At 38.9% G+C, this 23,985-nt stretch overlaps 2 protein-coding genes and 1 pseudogene across 14 annotated transcripts in view; 1 reads left to right on the top strand and 2 right to left on the bottom strand.

Moving 5' to 3' along the window:
- NXPE4 (neurexophilin and PC-esterase domain family member 4) overlaps positions 1-16,573 on the top strand; it is a 107,660-nt gene extending 91,087 nt beyond the window's left edge. For 8 of the 12 annotated variants that reach the window (XM_047427150.1, XM_047427148.1, XM_047427151.1 and 5 more), the window contains 4 exons: positions 4,143-4,876; positions 5,378-5,439; positions 6,826-7,032; positions 15,691-16,573. In XM_047427150.1, coding sequence (XP_047283106.1) covers positions 4,143-4,876; positions 5,378-5,439; positions 6,826-7,032; positions 15,691-16,226 — 1,539 coding nt within the window. In that variant the 3' untranslated portion in view covers positions 16,227-16,573. The other 4 variants (NM_017678.3, XM_011542882.3, XM_006718865.4 and 1 more) reach the window with 4 other exon arrangements.
- NXPE2 (neurexophilin and PC-esterase domain family member 2) overlaps positions 1-23,985 on the bottom strand; it is a 349,427-nt gene that overhangs the window by 226,539 nt on the left and 98,903 nt on the right. The gene's annotated exons all lie outside the window — the stretch shown is intronic.
- On the bottom strand, positions 2,615-3,902 carry LOC100132172 (histone deacetylase 2 pseudogene; annotated as a pseudogene).

Genomic DNA, 23,985 nt, shown 5'->3' with positions numbered 1-23,985 from the left:
GTTCAAAGAAGGAGCATAAAGCCTGGTCTCTTGTAGAGGGGCAAAAAAAGCGAGAATTAGGAAGTTAAGAGTGTTTCCGCAAAGGGCCAACAATATGCCTCATGGAATAGGGTTCCCGTTCCACTAGGTGATGCTGTTGACCTTGAAATACCATGTGCTCTCCAGACCAAGGGTAAAGAGAGAGATGTTCACAGGGGGTGTGGGGAGGGAAGGAGGACCTCTGTGCCTAGAAAATCACAAAAACGGCAATCCCATGAGCTATATTCCCAGGCATTATGGCATTTCCTTATCTTGCCTAAGAGGATTACTTCACCGAACTGTAAAAATTTTTAAAGCATTGCATACAGAGAGTGGATAGGAGACATGGAAGTTGCGGATAGGAAAGGAGAAAATTTGCAATAGAAAAAGCTTGCAGATCCTGTTGCCATCACCCATCAGGCTGTTGGAGGCTGGAATTAGTCCAGAAACCTTCAGGTAACACCAGGGTGTCTCCCTGGCAAGGAACCTTCAGTGCCTCTCAACCTCTTCCAGCCCCACATGACAGCAAGGCTCTCTGTAAAAGGAAACCAATTAGAAACAAAGCCAACATTCCCAGCACCCTGAGGACATGGGGGGATTAGCTAAGTTCTCCCTGGCAAGCCTGTCCCCTGAGTCTTGTAAGGCTGGTAGCCACGCTAACTTTTTAAATGGCTGATTGGGGGCCCAGTATTTGGTTTGATTTTTAAATGGAGAGCAGAAGGCCTTGAAATAAAAAGAAGGAGTTGGGGTCCACTTCTATACTCCCCCTTCTATGAATCTTCCTCGGATCCCAGGTGGGCTCCCATAATGAAATGGCATTTTTCATCTGGGATAATACCCGAGGTTCATTGTCTCTCTCCAAGGAAATCAAGGACATGGACATACAAGGAGTGAGTTTAAGAGCAGAGGTTTAACAGGCAAAAGAAAGAGAAAAGCTCTCTTCTGTAGAGACAGGGGATTTAAGTGGGTCTTTTGGTCCACAGTGAAGTGCAGGAGATTTTATAGATGAGCTTGAGGAGGTAGTGTCTGATTTACACAGGGCAAAAAAGATTGGTCACCCCAGGTGTAACATTTGCATAGCACACAAAGAACTGGTTAGGACTCGGTGTGCCATTTGCATAGCATATGAAGAAGCTGGCTGTCCCACTCTAATCTTTCATTATGCAGATGGGTTCTCTACCTGGCCAGCTCCATGTTGCCTGCTTTTTTACTGTACACATGGTGACAAAGAAAAGGGAAGATGGAGCCTCCATGTTGAACATGCCTGGCCCTCAGGTAGCCCTTTTCTATTGACACAGCCGCCAGCATTCACCCATGCAAGTTTTCAGCTGGCTTATCTATGTTTGCAGCTTGATTTTTCAGGCTGCTCTTTGTTAGAAAAGAAATGATTTGGGGGCTCCTTTTTGTTAAAAAGGGAAGCCTTGCCAAGGACTCCTTTACCCTCACTGTCTACCTAAATAATTTCTTTCTAGTTCCTGTTTCATTTCCTTTATATATTTAGGTGTTCTAAATGTTGAATGTATATACATATATATACACACACACACACACGTACATATATTTGTCATTTTCTCTTGATGAATTGATCTCTTTATTATTACATAATGACCTTCTTTTTCTCTTTTTACAGTTTTTGACTTAAATCCAATTTATCTGATATAAGCATAGTGACTCCTGCTCTCTTTTGGTTTCCATTTGCATGGAATATCTTTTTCCATTACTTCACTTTCAGTCTATGTGTGTCCTTAAAGCTGAAGTGAATCTCTTGCAGAAGGATAGAGTTAGGTCTTGTTTTTTTAAAATCTACTCAACCATTCTGTCTTTGGGGTAGGGAGTAATGAAATATACCATTTTATTACAGAGTCTCACAAAAATAAAAATAGTATCTCAAAACTCCCCCAATTCTGCAGGTGGAGGATGGCAGGAGACTAGACTACCATCCTCCACCTGCAGAACTGGGGGAAGACAGATGGCAGGCAGTGTGAGTTTTTTGGCTCACTTGAGGCCAGTGAGAAGGTATGAGAATGGAACCAATCTAAAAATGGCTGATGTTACTTAGGAGCTGAAAAGAACAGGGCAACCTTGAAGACCCAGACACCCCTTTTAGAAGGTGCAATAAAGGCACCTTTCCAAAGCTACTAAGCAGGCACTTGGCATTTCAGGATTTTGTCTTCTGTTTGCACAAAAGTATTCCCTTCACCCAGACCTGGCGCCTTTTATGCTTCAGAGTTAAGACCTGCAGAGGGATAGGTGGCAAGGCATTTCCTAGAAGAGATCACCCAGCACAGCTGCCCTGGGCTCAGGGTCTTAATTTCTGTCTAGTCCCTGGAACTATTTATATTTAATAAATTTTATATGAATACCTGGAGAAATAGAAGACATAAAATCTGAGGGTTTGGGAGAGAAAGATTGGGGACTAGGCAGGAAGCCAGAGCAGGGGAGGTTCCCTCAGGCCAGCTTGACCTGCTCCTTGACCTCTTTGGCTCCTGGCTTCTCCTCCTTCATTTTTCTCCTCTTCTGTGACATTTCTTCATCTCTGAGTCTCTCTTTTTCATCCTGTTTTAATCCTCTTGGCTTTTTTGAAGATGGGAGAGATCTTGCAGCCACGCTCTCCCTCCTCATCAGAGTCGAAGAACTCTTCCTCACAGGTAATTCATCTGTCAGAGAAACGGATGGAGATGAGCTTGTCAGGGTCTTCTTCATTCTCATCGCCACCCTCTTGAGGGACAGCATCCTCAGAATCACCTGCATTTGGACTGCAGGTGGATGGGCCTGCATTACTAGGTTCTCAAACAGCCACTGTTTAATCTTCTCCAGGTACTCATTAGTGTTCTGGTTAGTCATATTGGAAGGACTGATGTAGGGCTTGAAATATGGTCCAAAGTATTCAAAGTAATCATTGTATGAAGGCTCATTAGGGATCTCCATATCCAGAGCCACAGCTCTTTCTTATTTCCAGGGCACTGAGCAACATTATAAATGGTGTAACCACCTTCTGCCATCAATAACATAGGCAGGTTGACACTCTTGACAGATTCCACACACTTGGCATGCCCTTTGATGATCAGATTAAAGCAATCTAAGTGACCCCTAGACAAGGCATCTGAGCCATGCTGTAAGATCACCACACTAGACAGGAACATCTCTATTACTTTGGACATGACCAGTTTGAAAATGGCCTCATAGGACTCATCATCAATCCCATCTAGGAGCAGATAGTTAATAGCATAATATCTGCCTTTGCCAGCCCCAATAACCCATAAGTCCCCATCTCCTGGGAAGTACTCTCCATATTTATGAAAGGACACAGTCCTGGCCTAGCCTGTAATATAGAAGGCCTCTTCCATGCCATCATCATGGTGAATATCAACGTCAACATACAACACCCTCTGGTGATACTTTAGCAGTTCCAAGGTGGCCCAGATTGTATCATTAACATAACAGAAGCCAGATGCCTTGAACTTCTTTGCATGGTGCAGGCCTCCAGCCCAATTCACAGCAGTGTCCATCTGCTGCTCATTAAGTTTCACAGCACTTGCCACAGAGCCACCAGTAGACAACTGACAGAAGTCAAACAGGCCATCAAATGCTGGACAGTCCTCACTAACGTTGAATCTCTGCATCCGCTTGCTGTGCTCAGACACGTAATCTGGATAGATGGAGCACAAGAATTTAATGTAGTCATCACTGTGGTACTTGGTCATCTCCTCAGCATTGGCTTTGTGAGGGTGATGGGTTTCCATTTTTCAGTAGAAACCATAGTTGAGCAGCAAATTATGAGTCACGCAGATTCAGTGAGGATTCCTTGGGTGGGCTTGTCCATAATAGTAATTTCCAACACCCCTATCGTAGTAGTAACAGACTTTCCTCCTGGTGCCCTGCCTTTGCGCCATCTTGCTCACTTCCTGTCCCTCTGTCTCTCCTGTCAGTCAATCTCCATTCTATGCCTTTTTATTGGAGAATTTAAATAATATTGATAATAGTATGTAAATCAATATTCAAAATCACAATAAGTAAAAATGACTAGGAACATGTTAATTTCATAGCATGTTACACTTCCTGTCATTTCAGTTCAGATATGCTCTAAATTTATCCATCTCATGTCACATTTGCTGTCATTTCAGGTTTGGTCTGCTCTAAACTTATCCATCTCCCTCCATTACTGGAACAACTCCACAAAGTCCTTATTCCCTAAAACACCACTGATATCATTAAAGCCACTAACAGAGACTGAACTCAGAATAAAGGAAATCATAGAGAAACTAGATCAGCAGATCCCACCCAGACCTTTCACCCACGTGAACACCACCACCAGCGCCACACATAGCACAGCCACCATCCTCAACCCTCGAGATACGTACTGCAGGGGAGACCAGCTGCACATCCTGCTGGAGGTGAGGGACCACTTGGGACGCAGGAAGCAATATGGCGGGGATTTCCTGAGGGCCAGGATGTCTTCCCCAGCGCTGATGGCAGGTGCTTCAGGAAAGGTGACTGACTTCAACAACGGCACCTACCTGGTCAGCTTCACTCTGTTCTGGGAGGGCCAGGTCTCTCTGTCTCTGCTGCTCATCCACCCCAGTGAAGGGGTGTCAGCTCTCTGGAGTGCAAGGAACCAAGGCTATGACAGGGTGATCTTCACTGGCCAGTTTGTCAATGGCACTTCCCAAGTCCACTCTGAATGTGGCCTGATCCTAAACACAAATGCTGAATTGTGCCAGTACCTGGACAACAGAGACCAAGAAGGCTTCTACTGTGTGAGGCCTCAACACATGCCCTGTGCTGCACTCACTCACATGTATTCTAAGAACAAGAAAGTTTCTTATCTTAGCAAACAAGAAAAGAGCCTCTTTGAAAGGTAAAAATAATTACTTCTTGAGACTACCTGTGCAAATATTGTGATTTGGCCTATATACTGATCCAAAGAAAAGTCTTGTGAGTGTATTAATTTTGGGTGTCTTTAGTAAGAGCCTTTGGGGAAAGGATCTGTGAATTCATTTAGAGACAGTGCCCATTCTCTAGTAATCCACAAACTTTTTGAACATTTAATTCTTATCAATGGGAAAAAAATATATACAGAATAAAAACTAGAAGAAAATGAGAAATGCACATGTGTGTATGTGTGTGTGCTCTAATACATTATTTCTGCAACTCAACAAATTCTCTTGCATACCTTCTGGGTAACTGTATCCCATAGCCTAATAGGCAAAGAAATGGAAATTTACTAAATGGCCTGAAACTGTAGGCATAATAATTGACTTATCTCTAAGAAATAACTGAGGCACTGGATAATCTAGTTTCTGTATGTTTCCTGATTTGAGGCCACCTACAGATTAATTTCTGTATTTGTGTCTTTAAGGTCAAATGTGGGTGTAGAGATTATGGAAAAATTCAATACAATTAGTGTCTCCAAATGCAACAGTAAGTACTCCTGTGTTTGGTGGGTGGTGCCTAGTTCTAGACCCATTTAAAGGGTTTCTTCTTTCTACTGGATTTGTTCACTGTTTCAGTCCTATCAGCACTCTGTTCATCTGGCTTATCTAAGGTTGGCCAAGACACCAGTTACCTAGGTGAGTGAATAATTCAATCACTGGAATATCATAAGCCTATTTTAGTAACTGTAACTCTCATCATCAGTCTATTTGTCAGTCAGTGAATTCCCTGCCCATTTTATACAACAACCTTTAAACGTTAACTCTTTCCCAATTCTATACCCACTTCTTTACCTCACCACAACACCTCTCTTCATACCACTCCCATCACCTCTTCCCATATCACCACTAGCCCATCACCATCTAGAGGTTTCCAACCTGCCATCTGAGTGTCAGTTTATTATAACCCCTCCCTCTTGATCTTTGCCACCTTTCAAACAATTGTTAGCATAAAAAATAGAACTTGCACACTTATATTTACTAATTTCTCTCCAATTTCTTTGAATCCAAATAGCCTAGGAAATTCTTATCTAAAACGACTCAAGGCAAGAGCTTTTATGTCTCTGCAAGTTCAGCATTAAAACCTTGCTAATCATAAAAAAAGAAAGAAAGCCTTGCTAATCACTAATAAACCTATTTACACTGAAGTGTAAATATGTACCTAGATGTAGAAATGTTATTTTTACCACACATACATGAGTACACTCATCCCACTTATTAAAATATTAAACTACTTCTCTCAGTTGATTAATAATCAAACCTGCCACGGGCTCCTCACCATTGTGGCTACCTCAACCTGTGGATTCCCAGACTCTTCTAAACCAGTGACTGAGGGGTTCATCTTTGGCCCATCTTGGACCTCTAAGACACTCTCCAGCCTATAGCTATATTCATTTGGATTGGTCAGTTCCCAAGCCAAACTAGTTGTTAATATTTTTTATATCACCTTTATTTAACTCAAAGGATTTATATTTTGATGGTGTCATTTAAGACACAGTGTGACAAACTTAGGGGTAAAGTGAGCTAAAATGATAGGATAATTGAGCTTCCATTCCTATGCAAGAATTGATGACTTTAGTTTCATAGAAAAGCTGGAAAATACTTAAATTTTCCTCCAGAAAGCCATTTTTTTTCTGGGAAGAAACATATACTCTTATAACGAACATTAATGAACATTATTTAGGAAATTCACATCAGAGAAAAATTTTTATTAAAAAAACAGCTGTTCCATTAAGAGAATACTTCAGTAATACTTTTTCCACCATTACCACCACCTTACCCCCTCTTAGGATACTTAGAGGATAGAAGGCTCTTAATACATACTGACGGGTAATTTGATGTTTTGGAAGATCCTATCTCATTGATTCTTTGGCAGAAGAAACAGTTGCAATGAAAGAGAAATGCAAGTTTGGAATGACATCCACAATCCCCAGTGGGCATGTCTGGAGAAACACATGGAATCCTGTCTCCTGTAGTTTGGCTACAGTCAAAATGAAGGAATGCCTGAGAGGAAAACTCATATACCTAATGGGAGATTCCACGATCCGCCAGTGGATGGAATACTTCAAAGCCAGTATCAACAGTATGCCTCAGTCTAAGCTATAATTCTTACCCCTTTCAGAAACTTCTTTTCCATTTCAAAGGGGAGAAGGGAATATGGGAAATTCCTCTTTTTTTCATATTCTTCAATCACAACACACCAAAATTTTTCACAAGGCATTGTTATCCTTCCTTTAAAAAAACAATACAGCTATCTAACTGGAAGGAAAGCAGTGTAGAAAAAGGTTTATTACATCCCTATCTCTGCAGAATTCACACTTCAGTATGTACCCAGTAGGCTCCAAAAACTATTGATGGAACCAAAGATAATGTAAGATATTAAATTGTCCAGCTTCTAGAACCAGCAAAATGATTAAGGGTATGATTCTAGAACCAGACAACCTGGGTTCAAAACCTGACTTCTCTACCTCCTATCTGGGTGACTTTGAACAAGTTACATAACCATTCCATCCCTCAGTTTTCTCATCTGTCAACTGAAGATGAAAAGAGTTTCTACCTAGTAAAATGAGGTAATGCATACAGTGCATTTAGAATATTGTTTCTTACATAACTTCTCTTTGGTGTAAGGTATCATTACTGTCATCATTACCTAAGAGAACAGATGTCAGAAGTGAGGTAGACTTTGCATCAGGTAGACACAAGTAAAGCATGGGCTTGGGGTCTAACAGATCTAGGCTATGCTACTTAGAAACAATGACTTTGGGCATGTTATTTATTTTCCCTGCCTGGTGTTTCTCACCAATCAACCAGGAATAATAATAGTGATATAGTTTGACTGATTGTCCCCTCCAAATCTCATGTTGAAACATGATCTCCAACACTGGAGGTGGGACCTAGTGGGAAGTGTTTGGGTCACGGAGGTGGATCTCTCATGACTGGCTTGGTGCCCTCCCCATGGTAATGAGTGAGTTCTCGCTCTGTCAGTTCATGTGAGAACTGGTTGTTTAAAAGAGCCTGGCATCTCTCTTGCTCCCTCTCTCACCATGTGACACACTGGCTCCCCTTCCCTTCCGCCATGACTAAAAGCTTCCCGGCCTCACCAGATGCTGAACAGATGCCGATGCCATGCTTGTACAGCCTGCAAGAACCATCAGCCAAATAAGCCTCCTTTCCTTATAAATTACCCAGCCTCAGGTATTCCTTTATAGCAATGCAAACAGACTAATACAAGTACAAGTCTGTATAGAAGATTAAATGAAGTAATGGATATAAAGTGTTTAACACATTGCAAGGCATAGTGGCACACAGAAAGTGCCCAAAAAAACAACAGCCATTGCAATTGTTATCATTACTTAATTTAAGGGTCAGGGATAAAACCCAGTTGCTAAAATCCTAGTTCAGTTGCTCTATTTACTAAACCAAGAGCGCACCAGTAATAGCTCAGAATTTGCTAGTAGACCTTAGCCATCTCACCTACAAAACCATTATTGTCTACCCCTCTATGACCCCGGATCCTGGCTCTCATCACTGAGAGAATTGCAGTAGCTGTGGCTCCATCCTGGCCTTCCTAAAATGAGGCCACTCATGATCTCAAACTTAGAAGGAAAGTTGATCCAATGAAAGTGGGAAAATTGGTAGGGCCTTAGTTCTAAGTTATAAGAAAAATTCTCAATGGAAGGAAGAGCTTTAAATTGTGATCTCTGGTAAATGACTAAACTCCTAGGGAAACCTCAATTACCTCATCTACAAAATTCAGGGTCTAGTAACAGCCTTTAGCATCACATTCTGTAACAGTGATTCTCTTGGGTCATATAAAGGACTGAGTTATGGAGTTACCTACCCTCTTCGACTCATCTTTTAATTTGTCATAGAAAAACAACTGTTGTACATTGTGTTAAAAGTTAAATTCTATGGCCAGAGTGTGATTTGGAAAAGAAAACTGAAGTAAGTTGGAAGCAGAGTGAAGAAAATAACTCTGCCATTTTCTTCCAACTCACCCTACAGCATCTCTGTTTTCCAGCCTCACTGGGTTAAGTCTTCAAATGTAGCCCTTTGCTTCTAAGACAATCCCATGTTACAAAGCATCAATAATCCTCCTCTGAACATTTTCCTCAAAAGTTCTAACTACAAAGCAGTTAGCCCTGATGTTCTGATAAAAGTCTAATTAATGTGATGAAAATGGAAGAACTTCATTTTATTCTATTCATGTGTCAATTAAATATACATGAGAGGATCCTTGAGGTGAATGGATAGATCAGTCCAAATAAATGCTTTGTATATCGTAAAGGGTTCCACAAATGACTAGTAATACTTATTATTATAGATATGGCACTTAATATTATCCCAAGCATATGTGAAGGAAACACAGAAGTACAGAATATAATTTCAGTCTTGAGGGAATTTAAAGAGTGGCTGGGGAAATAGGGTTTACTTGTTTTTTATGTAAAGACCAATTAGTACCTTCCTCTAGCCTCAAATGAGCTTAGTCTACAATCAACAAAATGTACAAAAATAATATCTACAAAACTGACCACATAATCCTCCAAGGAAGTTACCTCACTACCTTTCCATCCCCACTCCATTAGATTCCACATGATTCTATAAGGTGGCGTGCACGTAATCTTTCACATTTACATAACACTTTTTTAATTTTTAAGTTTTTTATTTCAATAGGTTTTTGGGGAACCGGTGGTGTTTGGTTACATGGATAAGTTCTTTAGTGGTGATTTCTGAGATTTTGATGCACCCATCGCCCGAGCAGTGTACACTGTGCCCAATGTATAGTCTTTTATCCCTCGCCAACGCTGACCCTTTCCTCCGAGTCCTCAAAGTCCACTGTATCATTCTTAAGCCTTTGCGTCCTCATAGCTTAGTTCCCACATATGAGTGAGAACATACGATGCTTGGTTTTCCATTCCTGAGTTACTTCACTTAGAATAATAGCCTCCCATTCCATCCAGGTTGCTGCACATGCCATTCTTTCATTCCTTTTCATGGCTGAGTAGTATTCCACAGTGTGTGTGTATAACATTTTATATATATATATATATATGACACATATATATTTATGACATTATATATATATAACTTTATATATATGTGTATATATATAACTTTATATATATATGTATATATATAACTTTATATATATATATGTATATATATATAACTTTATATATATATATGTATATATATATATATATAACTTTATATATATATATGTATATATATATATATAAACATCTTCTTTATCCACTCATTGATTAATGGGCATTTGGGCTGGTTCCTTATTTTTGCAATTGCAAATTGTGCTGCTAGAAACATGTGTGTACAAGTATTTTTTTCGTATAATGACTTTTCTTCCTCTGGGTAGATACCAAGAAGCAGGATTGCTGGATCAAATGGTAGATCTGTTTTTAGTTCTTTAAGGAATCTCCACATTGTTTTTCTTAGTGGTTACACTAGTTTACATTCCCACCAACAGTGTAAAAGTGTTCCCTTTTTACTGCATCCACACCAACATTATTGATTTTTTTTGAATATGGCCTTTCTTACAGGACTGAGGTGGTATCACATTGTGGTTTTGATTTGCATTTCCCTGATAGTGATATTGAGCATTTTTCCATATGTTTGTTCACCATCTGTATATCTTCTTTGGAGAATTGTCTATTCATGTCTATAGCCCACTTTTTGATGGGACTTTTTTTTTCTTGCTGATTTCTTTGAGTTCTTTGTAGATTCTGGATATGAGCCCTTTGTTGACTGTATAAATTGTGAAGGTTTTCTCCCACTCTGTGAGTTGTCTGTTAACTCTGCTGATTATATCTTTAGCTATGCAGAAGTTTTTAGTTTAATTAAGTCCCATCCATTTATGTTTGTTTTTGTTGCATTTGCTTTTGGGTCCTTGGTCATAAAGTTTTTGCCTAAGCCAGTGTCTAGAAGGGTTTTTCTAATGTTATCTTCTAGAATCTTCATGGCTTCAGGTCTTAAATTTAAGTCTTTGATCCATCTGGAGTTGATTTTTGTATAAGGTAAGAGATGAGGATCCACTTTCATTCTTTTATATGTGGCTTGCCAATTATCCCAGCACCATTTGTTGAACAGGGTGTTCTTCCCCTACTTTATGTTTTTGTTTGCTTTGTCAAAGATCAGTTGGCTGTAAGTATTGGGCTTTATTTCTGGGTTCTGTATTCTGTTCCATTGGTCTATGTGCCTATTTTTATGCCAGTACCATGCTGTTTCAGTGACTATGGCCTTATAGTATAGTTTGAAGTCCAGTAATGTTATGCCTCCAGATTTGTTCTTTTTGCTTAGTCTTACTTTGTCTATGTGGGCTCTTTTTTGGTTCCATATGAATTTTAGAATTGTTTTTTCTAGTTCTGTGAAGAATGATGGTGGTATTTTGAAGAAAATTGCATTGAATTTGTAGATTGCTTTTGACAGTACTGTCATTTTCACAATATTTATTCTACCCATCCATGAGCATGTGATGTGTTTCCATTTATTCATGTCATCTATAATTTCTTTGGGCGGTGTTTTGTAGTTTTCCTTGTAGAGGTCTTTGACATCCTTGGCTAGGTATTCTTAAGGTTTTTATTTTATTTTATTTTATTTTACAGCTATTGTGAAAGGAGTTGAGCTCTTGATTTGATTCTCGGCTTGGTTGCTGTTGGTGTATAGCAGAGCTACTGATTTGTGTATATTAATTTTGTATCCTAAAACTTTGCTGAATTCATTTACCAGTTCTGGGAGCTTTTTGGATAAGTCTTTAGGGTTTTCTAGGTATACTATCATATCATGAGCCACAGCAACAGTTTGACTTCCTCTTTACCAATTCGGATGTCCTTTATTTCTTCCTTTTGTCTGATTGCTTTAGCTAGGACTTCCAGTACTATGTTGAAGATAGGTGGTGAGAATGGGCATTCTTGTCTTGTTCCAGTTCTCAGAGGGAATGCTTTCAACTTTTCCCCATTCAGTATTATGTTGGCTAGGGGTTTGTTGTAGATGGCTTCTATTACCTTAAGGTATGTCCCTTCTATGTTGATTTTGCTGAGGGTTTTAATCCTAATGGATGCTGGATTTTCTCAAATGCTTTTTCTGTGTCTGCTGAGACGATGATGTGATTTTTGTTTTTAATTCTATTTATATGGTGTATCACATTTATTGACTTACGTATGTTAAGCCATCCCTGCGTCCCTGGTATGAAACCCACTTGATCATGGTGGATTATCTTTTTGATATGCCATTGGATTTGGTTAGCTAGTATTTTGGTGAGGATTTTAGCATCTATGTTCATAAGGGATGTTACTGGTCTGTAGTTTTCTTTTTTGTTGTGTCCTTCCCTGGTTGAGGTATTAGGATGATACTGGCTTTATAGAATTATTTAGGGAGGATTCCCTCTTTCTCTGTCTTTTGGAATAGTGTGAATAGGATTTGTTTGAATTTTTCTTTGAATGTCTGACAGAAATCAGCTGTGAATCTATCCTGAACTTTTTGTGTTGGCAATTTTTTAACTATCATTTCAATCTCACTGTTTGTTACTGGTCTGTTCAGAGATTCTATATCTTCCTGGTTTAATCTAGGAGGGTTGTATATTTCCAGGAATTTATCCCCTCTAGGTTTTCTAGTTTATGTGCTTAAAGGTGTTCACAGTAGCCTTGAATAATCTTTCATATTTCTGTGGTATCAGTTGTAATATCTCCTGTTTTATTTCTAATTGAGCTTATTTGGATCTTCTCTCTTCTTAGTTAATCTTGCTAATGGTTTATCAATTTTATTTATCTTTTCAAAGAACCAGCTTTTTGTTTCATTTATTTTTGTATTACTTTTGTTTCAGTTTCATTTACTTCTGCTCTGATCTTCATTATTTTTTTTTCTGCCAGGTTTGGGTTTGGATTATTCTTGTTTCTCCAGTTCCATGAGCTATGACATTAGTTTATCTATTTGTGCCCTCTCAGACTTTTATGTAGGCATTTAAGTCTATGAACTTTCCTCTTAACATCACTTTTGCTGTATCCCAGAGGTTTTGATAGCTTGTATCACTATTATGGTTCAGTTCAAAGAATTTTTTAATTTCCATCTTGATTTTATTGTTGACTCAATGATCATTCAAGAGCAGGTTATTTAATTTCCATGTATTTGCATGGTTTTGAGGGTTCCTTTTGGAGCTGATTTCCAATTTTATTCCACTGTGGTCTGAGAGAGTACTTGATATAATTTTGATTTTCTTAAATTTACTGAGACTTGTTTTGTGGCCTATCATATGCTCTATCTTGGAGAATGTTCCATGTGCTGATAAATAGAATGTATATTCTTCACTTTTTGGGTAGAATGTTCTGTAAATATCTGTTAAGTTCATTTGTTTTAGGGTATAGTTTAAGTCCATTATTTCTTTGTTGACTTTCTGTCTTGATGACCAGTCTAGCGCTGTCAGTGGAGTGTTAAAGTTCCCCACTATTGTATTGCCATCTCTCATTTTTTTTGGTCTATTAGTAATGTTTTGTAAATTTGGGAGCTCCAGTGTTAGATGCATATATATTTAGAATTGTGGTATTTTCCTGTTGAATGTTATTTTATCATTATATAATGTCCCTCTTTGTCTTTTTAAACTGCTGTTGCTTTAAAGTTTGTTTTGTCTGATATAAGAATTGCTACTCCTGCTTGCTTTTGGTGCCCATTTGCATGGAATATCTTTTTCCACCCCTTTACCTTAAGTTTATGTGAGTTCTTATGTGTTATTAAATAGGTGACTTTCCTGAAGACAGCAGAAACTTGGCTGGTGAATTCTTACCCATTCTTCCATTCTGTACGTTTTAAGTAGAGCATTCAGGTCATTTACATTCAATATTAGCATTGAGATATAAGATACTATTCTATTCATTGTGCTACTTGTTGCCTAAATACCTTGTTTTTCTTTTCATTGCATTATTTCATGTAGGTCCTTTGAGAATTATGCTTTAAGGAGGTTCTATTTTGGTGTGCTTTGATAACTTGCTTCAAGATTTAGAGCTCCTTTTAGTAGTTATTGTAGTGCTTGCTGGTACTGGCAAATTCTGTCAGCATTTGTCTCGAAAAGACTATCTTTTCTTCATTTACGAAGCTTAGTTTTGCTGGATACAAAATTCTTGACTGATAATTTTTTTGTTTAAGGAGGCTAAAATAGAACCCCAATCCCTTCTAGCTTGTAGGGTTTCTGCTGAGAAATCAGCTGTTAATCTGATAAGTTTTCTTTTATAGGTTACCTGATACCTTTGCCTCACAGCTCTTAAGATTTTTTCCTTCATCTTGACTTTAGATAATCTGATTACTATGTGCCTAGGCAATGATCTTTCTGTGATGAATTTCCCAGGTGTTCTTTGAGCTGCTTGTATTTGGATGTCTAGATCTCTAGCAAGGCCAGGGAAATTTTCTTCGATTAGTCCCTCAAATATGTTTTCCAGACTTTTAAATTTCTCTTCTTCCTTGGGAATACCAATTATTCTTAGGTTGGGGCATTTAGCATACTCCCAAACTTCTTGGTGGCTTTGTTCATTTTTTAAAATCCTTTTTGTCTTTGATGGATTGAGTTAATTCTAAAGCCTTGTCTTCTAGCTCTGAGGTTCTTTTTTCTGCTTGTTCAATTCTATTGCTGAGAATTTCCAGTGCATTTTGCATTTCTCTAAGTGTATCCTTGATTTCCAGAAATTGTGATTGTTTTTTATTTATACTATCTATTTCACTGAAGAATTTTCCTTTCATATTCTGTATCATGTTTTTAATTTAAGTTGGACTTCACCTTTCTCTGGTGCCTCCTTGATTAGCTTAATAATCAACCTTCTAAATTATTTTTCCTGCAATTCAGAGATTTCTTCTTGGTTTAGATCCATTGGTGGTGAACTGGTATGGTCTTTTGCAGGAGTTAAAGAATCTTGTTTTGTCATATTACCAGAATTGGTTTTGGGGTTTCTTCTCATTTTGGTAGACATGTCAGAGGGAAGATCTGGGATTCAAGGGCTGCTATTCAGATTCTTTTGTCCCACAGGGTGCTCCCTTGATGTGGTTTAATCCCCCTTCCCCTAGGAATGGGGCTTCCTGAGTCTCGCAACCCAGTGGAGCTACTGGGCTCTGGGCTGGTACTGGAGAGTGTCTGCAAAGAATCCCATAGGATGTGACCCATCTTCAGGTCTTGCAGCCTTGAATACCAGCACCTGCTCCAGTGGAGTTAGCAGGGGAGTGAAGTGGACTCTGTGAGGGTCTTTGGTTGTGTTTTTGTTTAGTGTGCTGGTTTTGTGTTCGTTGGCCTCCAGCCAGCAGGTGGCACTTTCAAGAGCACATCAGCTGCTGTCCTACAGGCAGGATGGAAACTTGCCCTAGGGACACAGTTTTTCAGCATCTCAGAGAGCCTGCAGTGGTGATCCTGTTCCTTCAAAGGGTCTATGGATTCTTCTGACTTTCCTGGTATGTTCCTGTGGCAGTTCTTGGAGCAGAAGTTCATGATGTGAGTCTCCACAGGCTGCTCTGTTTGTCTGAGTGAGAGCTGCAAGCTAGTCCTGCCTCCTATCCACCATCTTAATCCAAGATGCTACGTAACACTTTTGACTGTTCAAATAATTTTCAAAAACATCCCCTCATCTAAACCTATAATAAATTAGACATGATTAGCTTATTTAATTATACCAATCAAATCTCTTCCATCTTTATATCTACTCAATCTTGGTAACTATATCCTCCTTTTATTTTGGGATTGCCTATTTGTTATCAGCACTGAAGTCAGTGGATCTGCATGAATCTGGAAAATTGCAACACCAGCTTGCTGTGGATTTGGATAGGAACATCAACATCCAGTGGCAAAAATATTGTTATCCCTTGATAGGATCAATGACCTATTCAGTCAAAGAGATGGAGTACCTCACCCGGGCCATTGACAGAACTGGAGGAGAAAAAAATACTGTCATTGTTATTTCCCTGGGCCAGCATTTCAGACCCTTTCCCATTGATGTTTTTATCCGAAGGGCCCTCAATGTCCACAAAGCCATTCAGCATCTTCTTCTGAGAAGCCCAGACACTATGGTTATCATCAAAACAGAAAACATCAGGGAGATGTACAATGATGCAGAAAGATTTAGTGACTTTCATGGTTACATTCAATATCTCATCATAAAGGACATTTTCCAGGATCTCAGTGTGAGTATCATTGATGCCTGGGATATAACAATTGCATATGGCACAAATAATGTACACCCACCTCAACATGTAGTCGGAAATCAGATTAATATATTATTAAACTATATTTGTTAAATAACACAAAAGTCTGAAATTCATTCACTTAAGTAAAAAAATTTATTGACTGTCTACTAGCAGGCCAGATGCTGTGTTTGGCTCTGAATTCCCAACTAGCAAGAGCAGAGAATCTACATTATGGCTGATCCATAAGCCACCAATTCAGCTAAATGAGATGTTTCTAATCTGGGCTTCCACTTAAAAATAAAACTAAAAATACTCATGAAAAGAGCCTACCCTTCTTGATCAGAGCCATACCCCTCTTCACCAATGGGAAGTCAAGACACCTATGGGTAAAAGTTCTCTCTGATGCATGAAAACTCAGAGTGATAAAGTAATTTTAAAATAAAAATTTGGAGAAAGCAGTCCTGTTTGTTTATTTCTATCACTAAAGACAAGCTCTAGATGAATTTCCAAGTCAGAAGAGAAGTCTTGTGAGGCAATTCTCCCATAGTCATAGAGAGAATTCTAAGCAAGGACATGTGGGTCCTGAAAACCTCTAAATTTTCTCTCTCTGTAGGAACTCCTGATACTAGGCTCTAATCTGATTCTATAGTATTTTTCATCCAGGTTTATAGGATAACACAGGTAAAAGCACGGGCCACTAGAATTCAGGAAGTTTGTCTTTAGTCTTGTTGCTGTTGATCATTTTAAGACTTTGGAGGGTTGGGTGCAGTGGCTCACACCTGTAATCCTAGCACTTTGGGTTGCAAGACAGTCAAAGACTGGAGAGACCAAAAAAGTCCAGGAGAGTTTATTAAATTAAGGTGATCACTGGCTCAGCCGTACATAGGTCCAGATAGTCTGAGCCCCAAACAAAGGGCTTTTCCTACTTTTAAACATCTTAAGGCGGGAACCATGTGAGGCAGGAAGCGAGTTACAGAAGCAAGAAACAAATGCAGCATTACAACATTTCTTACATCTTGAGAGAAACAGGTCTTGCAACCTAAACTTATCAGTCTTGTGACCCTGCAGCCATGTAGGAAGGTAAGCAGGCACTCTCTGGGCCTATAATAAACTTTGAGGAATGTAGAGTTGGGGAGTATAGATAAGGTCCACTGTCCACAGAAAGAAGACAGGCTGTTAATACTCCCTTTTAACTTGAGTGTGGGGGTGAGGGGTCACACTTTGCAGCAGCTTTAAGAGGATTTTAAAATATCTATTACTACTACTATTAGCTTATAGTTGATTTCACTAATTCCTTCTTCATTTGGAGGCTGAGGTGGAAGGGTCACTTGAGTCCAGGGGTTTGACGCTGCAGTGGCACACCACTACACTACGGCCAGAGTGACAGCGCAAGACCCAGCCTCAAAAAACAACAACAAAAGACTGGATAAGTATCTTCAGCTCTCTGGGTCTCATGTGGTACTTTGGGCACTACCTTGAGGGGCAGGAGTCAGGAGAGGTGCCCCATGGGGCAGAGTACCAGTTCCAATACCACTGCTTCAGCCAGAATATCAGTCATTCTTACCTATATGTATATGGAATCCTGGGTGAGCTTTTTGTTTGAAAAAATTCCACGGCTTAAAACATCTTTGCGAGCCACTATTGTCTGAAAGCTATTAAGTAGATAATCAATAACAATGGTCCCTATAATCTACACATGTAGGTTAACATTTTAATCACTTTCATTTGCATTTTAATAGGCCTTCCCAAGACTTGATCAAAAAAGAGTGTTGGATATGAGAATTTCAGTTGAATAGAGCAATGTGATTATTGTCAAGCAGTTTGGTACCATATTCTTCCTTAATTTTGTACCCTTCATCATGCCCCAGATACCACCAGGCCCCTGACCCAATAGTAAGAATGGCAATAGTACTTGCATCTGGAAAAAAACAATTACAATAGGGCAACTTAAATATGTTTATCCAGTTTTTTGGGGGCAGCAGGAGATAATACATTTTCTATTTATTTGCCAATAATCACAGTTCATAGTCCAATGCCCCACATACACTCAGATGGTCAACATTTTTTTTTAAATCCCTACCATGTGCCAGGAACTGTTCTAGTCTTTAGGTATATAGTCATCAAAAAGACAAATGATATCTCTGCCATCAAAGATTTTATATTCTAATAAAGGAAAAAGATAATAAACAAAAAAGACATAAAATTATTCCACAGTTCATGATAAAGTCATATGAACAAAGCATATCACATCAGTGATAGGGTAACGGCATGGTGGTGATGGAGGTGACTAGGTATTTAGAAAAGCATCTCAGAAGAGAAGCATTGAAAGTGGGATAGAAAAGATAAAAAGGAGGCAGCCGTGAGACAAAATGGAGGAAGACAGAGGCTTGAGAAGTTAGAGAAACAAGCAGGAGCTAGATCTTATGTGGCCTTATTACCTATGGCAAGGAGTTTAAATTTTATCCTAATTATAATGGGTGGGTAGTTGAGGGAGGAAGGAAGGGAGAGGGAAAATAAGAAAGAGGGAATGAAAGAGAGGAAGAGAGTGAAGAAGAGAGGGGGAAATAAAGGGAGGGGGGAGCAGTACCTTAACTCAAGCATCACCATGGACTACTATAGCTGCTAAGGTAAGAATGAACAAGGGTTGTGAAGCTCCAGGAATGGTAGAACAGCACCTGCTTTCTTCTATTAATAGAGTGACTTTCCACTACCCCTTTCTACTTGAGGTAAGGAAGGATAAAAGGTATTGAAGATCTTGCAAAAGGGGCAGAATATTTAAAAGGAACACAGAGCACTATAATTTTAGCACAGAAACTAAAATTTGAATGTGACCCAGAGATTTTTTTTAAGAAAAGAAAAAGAAGATATATGTTTGTAATATGTGAACTCTAAAAGGGAACGTGAGCTCAGATAGAAAGATACATTCAGAATGATAATTCTCAGAAGTTAGCACTTTCTAGGGGCAATCCATGAAGGCTTAATGGTTCTTCTGAAAACCAAATCAATATACACACTGTGGCAATGTCTGTGTGATGTTTCATATGTTTATTTCTTGTCTGAGATGATTGGCCAGTATATATATATATCGAAAGTACAAGTTGTTCTTCCAACAGAGGGAAAAAGTAAAAATGACTGACATATAGCCCTTGGAGCTGAATGGATTCTTAAATATTTTGGAAAAATACTCCACAAAGAAAAAACATTGTAAAAATGTCCAAGGGAAATTATTAACAAGAGGCAAGCATATTAAAGAATATACTGAAAAGAAACTGACAAGGTGAGGTATTTTTTTCAAGAGAGGGTATTTAAAAAAAATAAAAAGTATATTCTAAGTACCAGTTTGTGCTGAATCCTTACAGTTATAATCTTTCTCATCCTTGTAACTAACAGTCTGGGTCCAATGAGGAGGTAGAAACCACCCAGTGGGCCAAACGGGGAAAGTTTGATATAAAGAATTACTAAACTCTGATAAATGAGTGACTATAAGATAAAAGGAATCTCTATGTGGTATGCCTAAGGCTGAGGGACGGTGTCCAAAAAAAACTTGAAAGAAGGTCCCTCCCCAAGGCTGCCGTTCAGCCTTATTGGGAAATGTATAGTTCATTTCACTGGAAAGCAGAGATCGTTGGTTTTCCCAGGCTAGAGCGGGTCTGCAGTTGCTGGACAAGCAGAAGGGAATCCTCCATAGTCCAGGCAGGGTTCAGGCAATCATGAACCAGGGGTGTGAACAAGTAGGTGAGGGCCTAGGACAAAGATGAGCTGTGCAGGGGGCCTGCATGGGGAATCGAGTGCCCATGCAAGCAGTAGGCCTTCACATACAGGGAGTGCTGGGGTGCTGTAGCCAATGTGGAAGGCTAGGAAAGGTTATTGCCAGGCCAGGATGAGGCTGCAAGGTTGCCAAAAGATTGCTTATTCTGGGAACATGGCTGGGGAAGAGCCCTACTGGATGTCCCCATACCAAAAACACTAGCCTACTGCACGGCCACCAGAAACAGCAGGAGAGTTCCTTCTTTCTGCAATGCCCCTCCCAAGCCCTCTGCTGAGAAAGCTTAGCAAAGTGCTCACTATACAGGATGGTGCTTAAGGCACTTCTGTCCATGATTGCAGAGAATGTATACAAAGGCAAATTTGGAGTCAAGAGGTAATAAATCAATAACTGACACGGTCATCAACCCAATCCTTTCAACTGGGTCATTTGTTTAGGAAACAAATAGACTACTCTCTAATAGTTTGCATCTTAAAAAAGAAAACATAAATTTAAATACATATATGTGGGTATATAGAATGTAAATATTCTCCATATGTGTGCAAATATTCTATATATACAGAGATAGAGAGAGAGAGAGAGAGAAATCCCTTGATATTACATGTGTCTCTTGAGGTATGGCTACATATCTTCTCCCCTTTTTATAAAACCTTCTTGAAAACATATAGTTTTTTGTCCTTGCTACCTCCTATTCTCTGTTACAACACATTCCAGTTGGGTTTATGTTCTAAATCGCTCCTGCCAGCGGTACTAATGGCCTTTGTGTTGCTAAATCCAATGGCTACTTCTTTGTCTTCATCCAACTCAGCCTCTCAGTAGTGTTTGACCCAATTGACTGTGCCTTCTTTATTCACTCACTCACTTTCCTTTGTTTCTGTGCCACAGATTTCTCTGTGTTTTCCTCCTGCTTCCTTGGTCACTCCTTCCCATTTTCCTTTGCCAATCCCCACTCAGCTGCTTGGCCTCTAAAGTTGGAGTGCCCTGGGGTTCATTCCTATGCATCCACTTTGCTCTATCTATATGCTAATTTGGGGTGATACCCACTCCCTGGCTTAAATACTATCGATGATTTCCATAACTTGTAAGTATTTGTCTCCAGCTCTGATTTCTCCACTGCACTTAGGACTTGCATATCTAATTGCCTACTTAATATCCCATTTACCTGTCTAGGAGACATCTCAAACTCAGTATGATCAAAGTAGAATTCTTGATTTATATTCCAAAATGCATTTGTCCCTAGTTTTCTCCAGCTCAGAAATGTTTCCAAGATTCATACAGGTAGTCATAAATTGTCCTTGATTCATTTACTTCTCTCATTCCTCTCAAAGTTCTGCCATATTTTTTTTTACAATATATGTGGAGAATCTTTCTCCTCTTCTCTATCTCCATTGCTACCATCTTAGTTTAAACAGTATCACCTCTTTCCTGGACTCAGGCAATAACTGATCTTTTGCTCATAATCTTGAAACTTCTACAACCCATTCTTTGCCTAGTAGCCAGACTGAGCTTTTTAAACTGTAAATGAGATCATTTTACATCCCTGGATAAAACCCTGTAATGGCTTCCAAACTCCTTTCCATGATCCATAATGATGAGTCTTTCCTGTCATTCCAATCTCAGATAAGTTTTCCTGACCACACAATGTAAAACTAGATCACTCCAACTCCCTATTACTCTTAATTACTTCACTGTTTCCTTTTCATGAGTGTATGTATCACTATCCAAAATAATCTCATTAATTTAGTTGTATATATTATTTTTACCTGTTCTACTCACAGTAAACTCTAGGTTCTCTAACAGTAAGGACCACGTATTTGTTCACTAGGTGCCTTGTTCGCAGCATCAGGAACTACGTCTAGCATATGTTAAAGATTCAGTCTATACCTGTTAAATAAAATACAATGATTCATTTTACATTTGCCAGGGAGTAAGTGGAATGTAACAGCCACCTATTTTAAACAGATGGTTTTGTGTAAAAAGGGCATGGCCTACAATAAAGACACGTTCTCTATTAGGAGAATATATCCAAAATATGACAGAGAGGCCCCAAAATTCATCAAGCCTGCAAAAGCCCATGTGAAGTATATCACAAATATTTTTGATGTTCTGACTCAGAAATGAAGAATTTAAGGACAAATTATGTTTTTCAATATTTTCCATTGATGGCTAAAACTTTAAAATAGGAGAATCCTGACATCTGTTATTCGCTGTACTGTTCCTGTTGCCAGGAAAGACTTGCTCTTCTGGAATGTAGACAATGATATCAATACAAATGGTTCCTGGAAAAGGCTTGGCATGCTTGGAAAAATAAAGATGAATAAGATTTTTTCCTGCCTGGAAAGTATTCATTATCCAACTAGAGAGATAATCTTTTATAGAGTATAGAAATAACTTATAAGTAAAACAAGAGGTCTTCTGGAATAGCTCAAACTCCTATATCCCACAATAAATTAGGCTCTAAAGGTGGCCCTTTAATGGATTTTCCTTTCCAGAATTAGCTAAAGATCATATGAAACATATATTCTTGCATTCAATCCATTGTCCTGGCTGTTCCTTTTTTATGGAAAGAATATCCCTCATGGCTTTCTCCAACCAATGAGATTTCAGTCACCCTTCAAGTCCCAGATCCCAGGTGGGATCTGGGTCAGTCAAGTCCCAGGTGGTGTAGGCATACTCAACCACCCCCTCTCTGTGCACTCCTGCACCATTTTCATATGGCTATTCTGTATTGTGCTAGAAATAGTTATTTATGTATCTGCATTTAGACACATATAACACTACAATTAAATCATACATTTCATGAGGGCAGGGAATGTATCTTACTCATATATAAATAATCCCCAAACTTTATTTTTTTAGGATGATTATTTGTGATTAATGGTGATTTATGAGATTTTGGTGCATTGATCACCTGAGCAGTGTACACTGTACCCAATGTGTAGTCTTTTATCCCTCACCTCGCTATCAACCTTTCCCCCAAGTCCCCAAAGTTCACTGGATCACTTTTTATGCCTTTATGTCCTCATAGCTTAGCTCCCACTTATGAGTGAGAACATATGATATGATGTTTGGTTTTCCATTCCTGAGTTACTTCATTTAGAATAATAGGCTTCGACTCTATCCAGGTTGCTGCGAATGCCATTATTTCCTTCCTTTTTATGGCTGAGTAGTATTCCATGATATATATATACCACATTTTCTTTATCCACTCATTGATTGATGGGCATTTGGGCTGGTTCCATATTTTTGCAACTGCTAATTGTGCTGCCATAAACATGTGTGTGCCAGTGTCTTTTCTCATATAATGACTTCTTTTCCTCTGGGTAGATACCCAGTAGTGGTATATCTACTTTTAGTTCTTTAAGGAATCTCCATACTGTTTTCCACAATGGTTGTACTAGTTTACATTCCCACCAGCAGTGTAAAAGTGTTCCCTTTTCACTACATCCACACCAACATCTATTATTTTTTATTTTTTAAATTATGACCATTCTTTCAGGGGTAAGGTGGTTTGCACTGTGGTTTCGATTTGTATTTCCCTGATAATTAGTGATGTTGAGCATTTTTCAATATGTTTGTTGGCCATTCCTAAATCTTCTTTTGAGAATTGTCTATTCATGTCCTTAGCCCACTTTTTGATAGACTGTTTGTTTTTTTCTTGCTGATTCGTTTGAGTTCCTTGTAGATTCTGGATATTAGTCCTTTGTCAGATGCATAGTTAGTGAAAATTTTCTCCCACTCTGTGGGTTGTCTGTTAACTCTGCTGATTATTTCCTTTGCTGTGCAGAAGCTTTTTAGGAGTTAATTAAAATAATCCCAAACTTTAGAGATAAGCGTCCACACGTGGCATCCCAGTTATTTTCAAGTTTGCAACTGCAGGCATGTAATAAATGACTGGAAGTAAATAAGAAAATGAATGAATCAATAAGTAAATTCCCTATATGACTCATATGAGGAGAAAGTAAAATTTCAGAAAAGCTTCCTGAGAGATAAAAAGAGAGATGAGGGATTAGTGACAGAAAATATGACTCACCCTCTTATTTGCCCTCATCTTTATTGCCTCTTGTACTGAACATCTCTTGCTGAATTGTGACTAATATTCCT

Source organism: Homo sapiens, chromosome 11 (genome assembly GCF_000001405.40).
Source record: "Homo sapiens chromosome 11, GRCh38.p14 Primary Assembly".
Taxonomy (NCBI): domain Eukaryota; kingdom Metazoa; phylum Chordata; class Mammalia; order Primates; family Hominidae; genus Homo; species Homo sapiens.
Note: the sequence above shows the minus strand (reverse complement) of the source record. Positions and strands in the feature narration are given on the sequence as shown.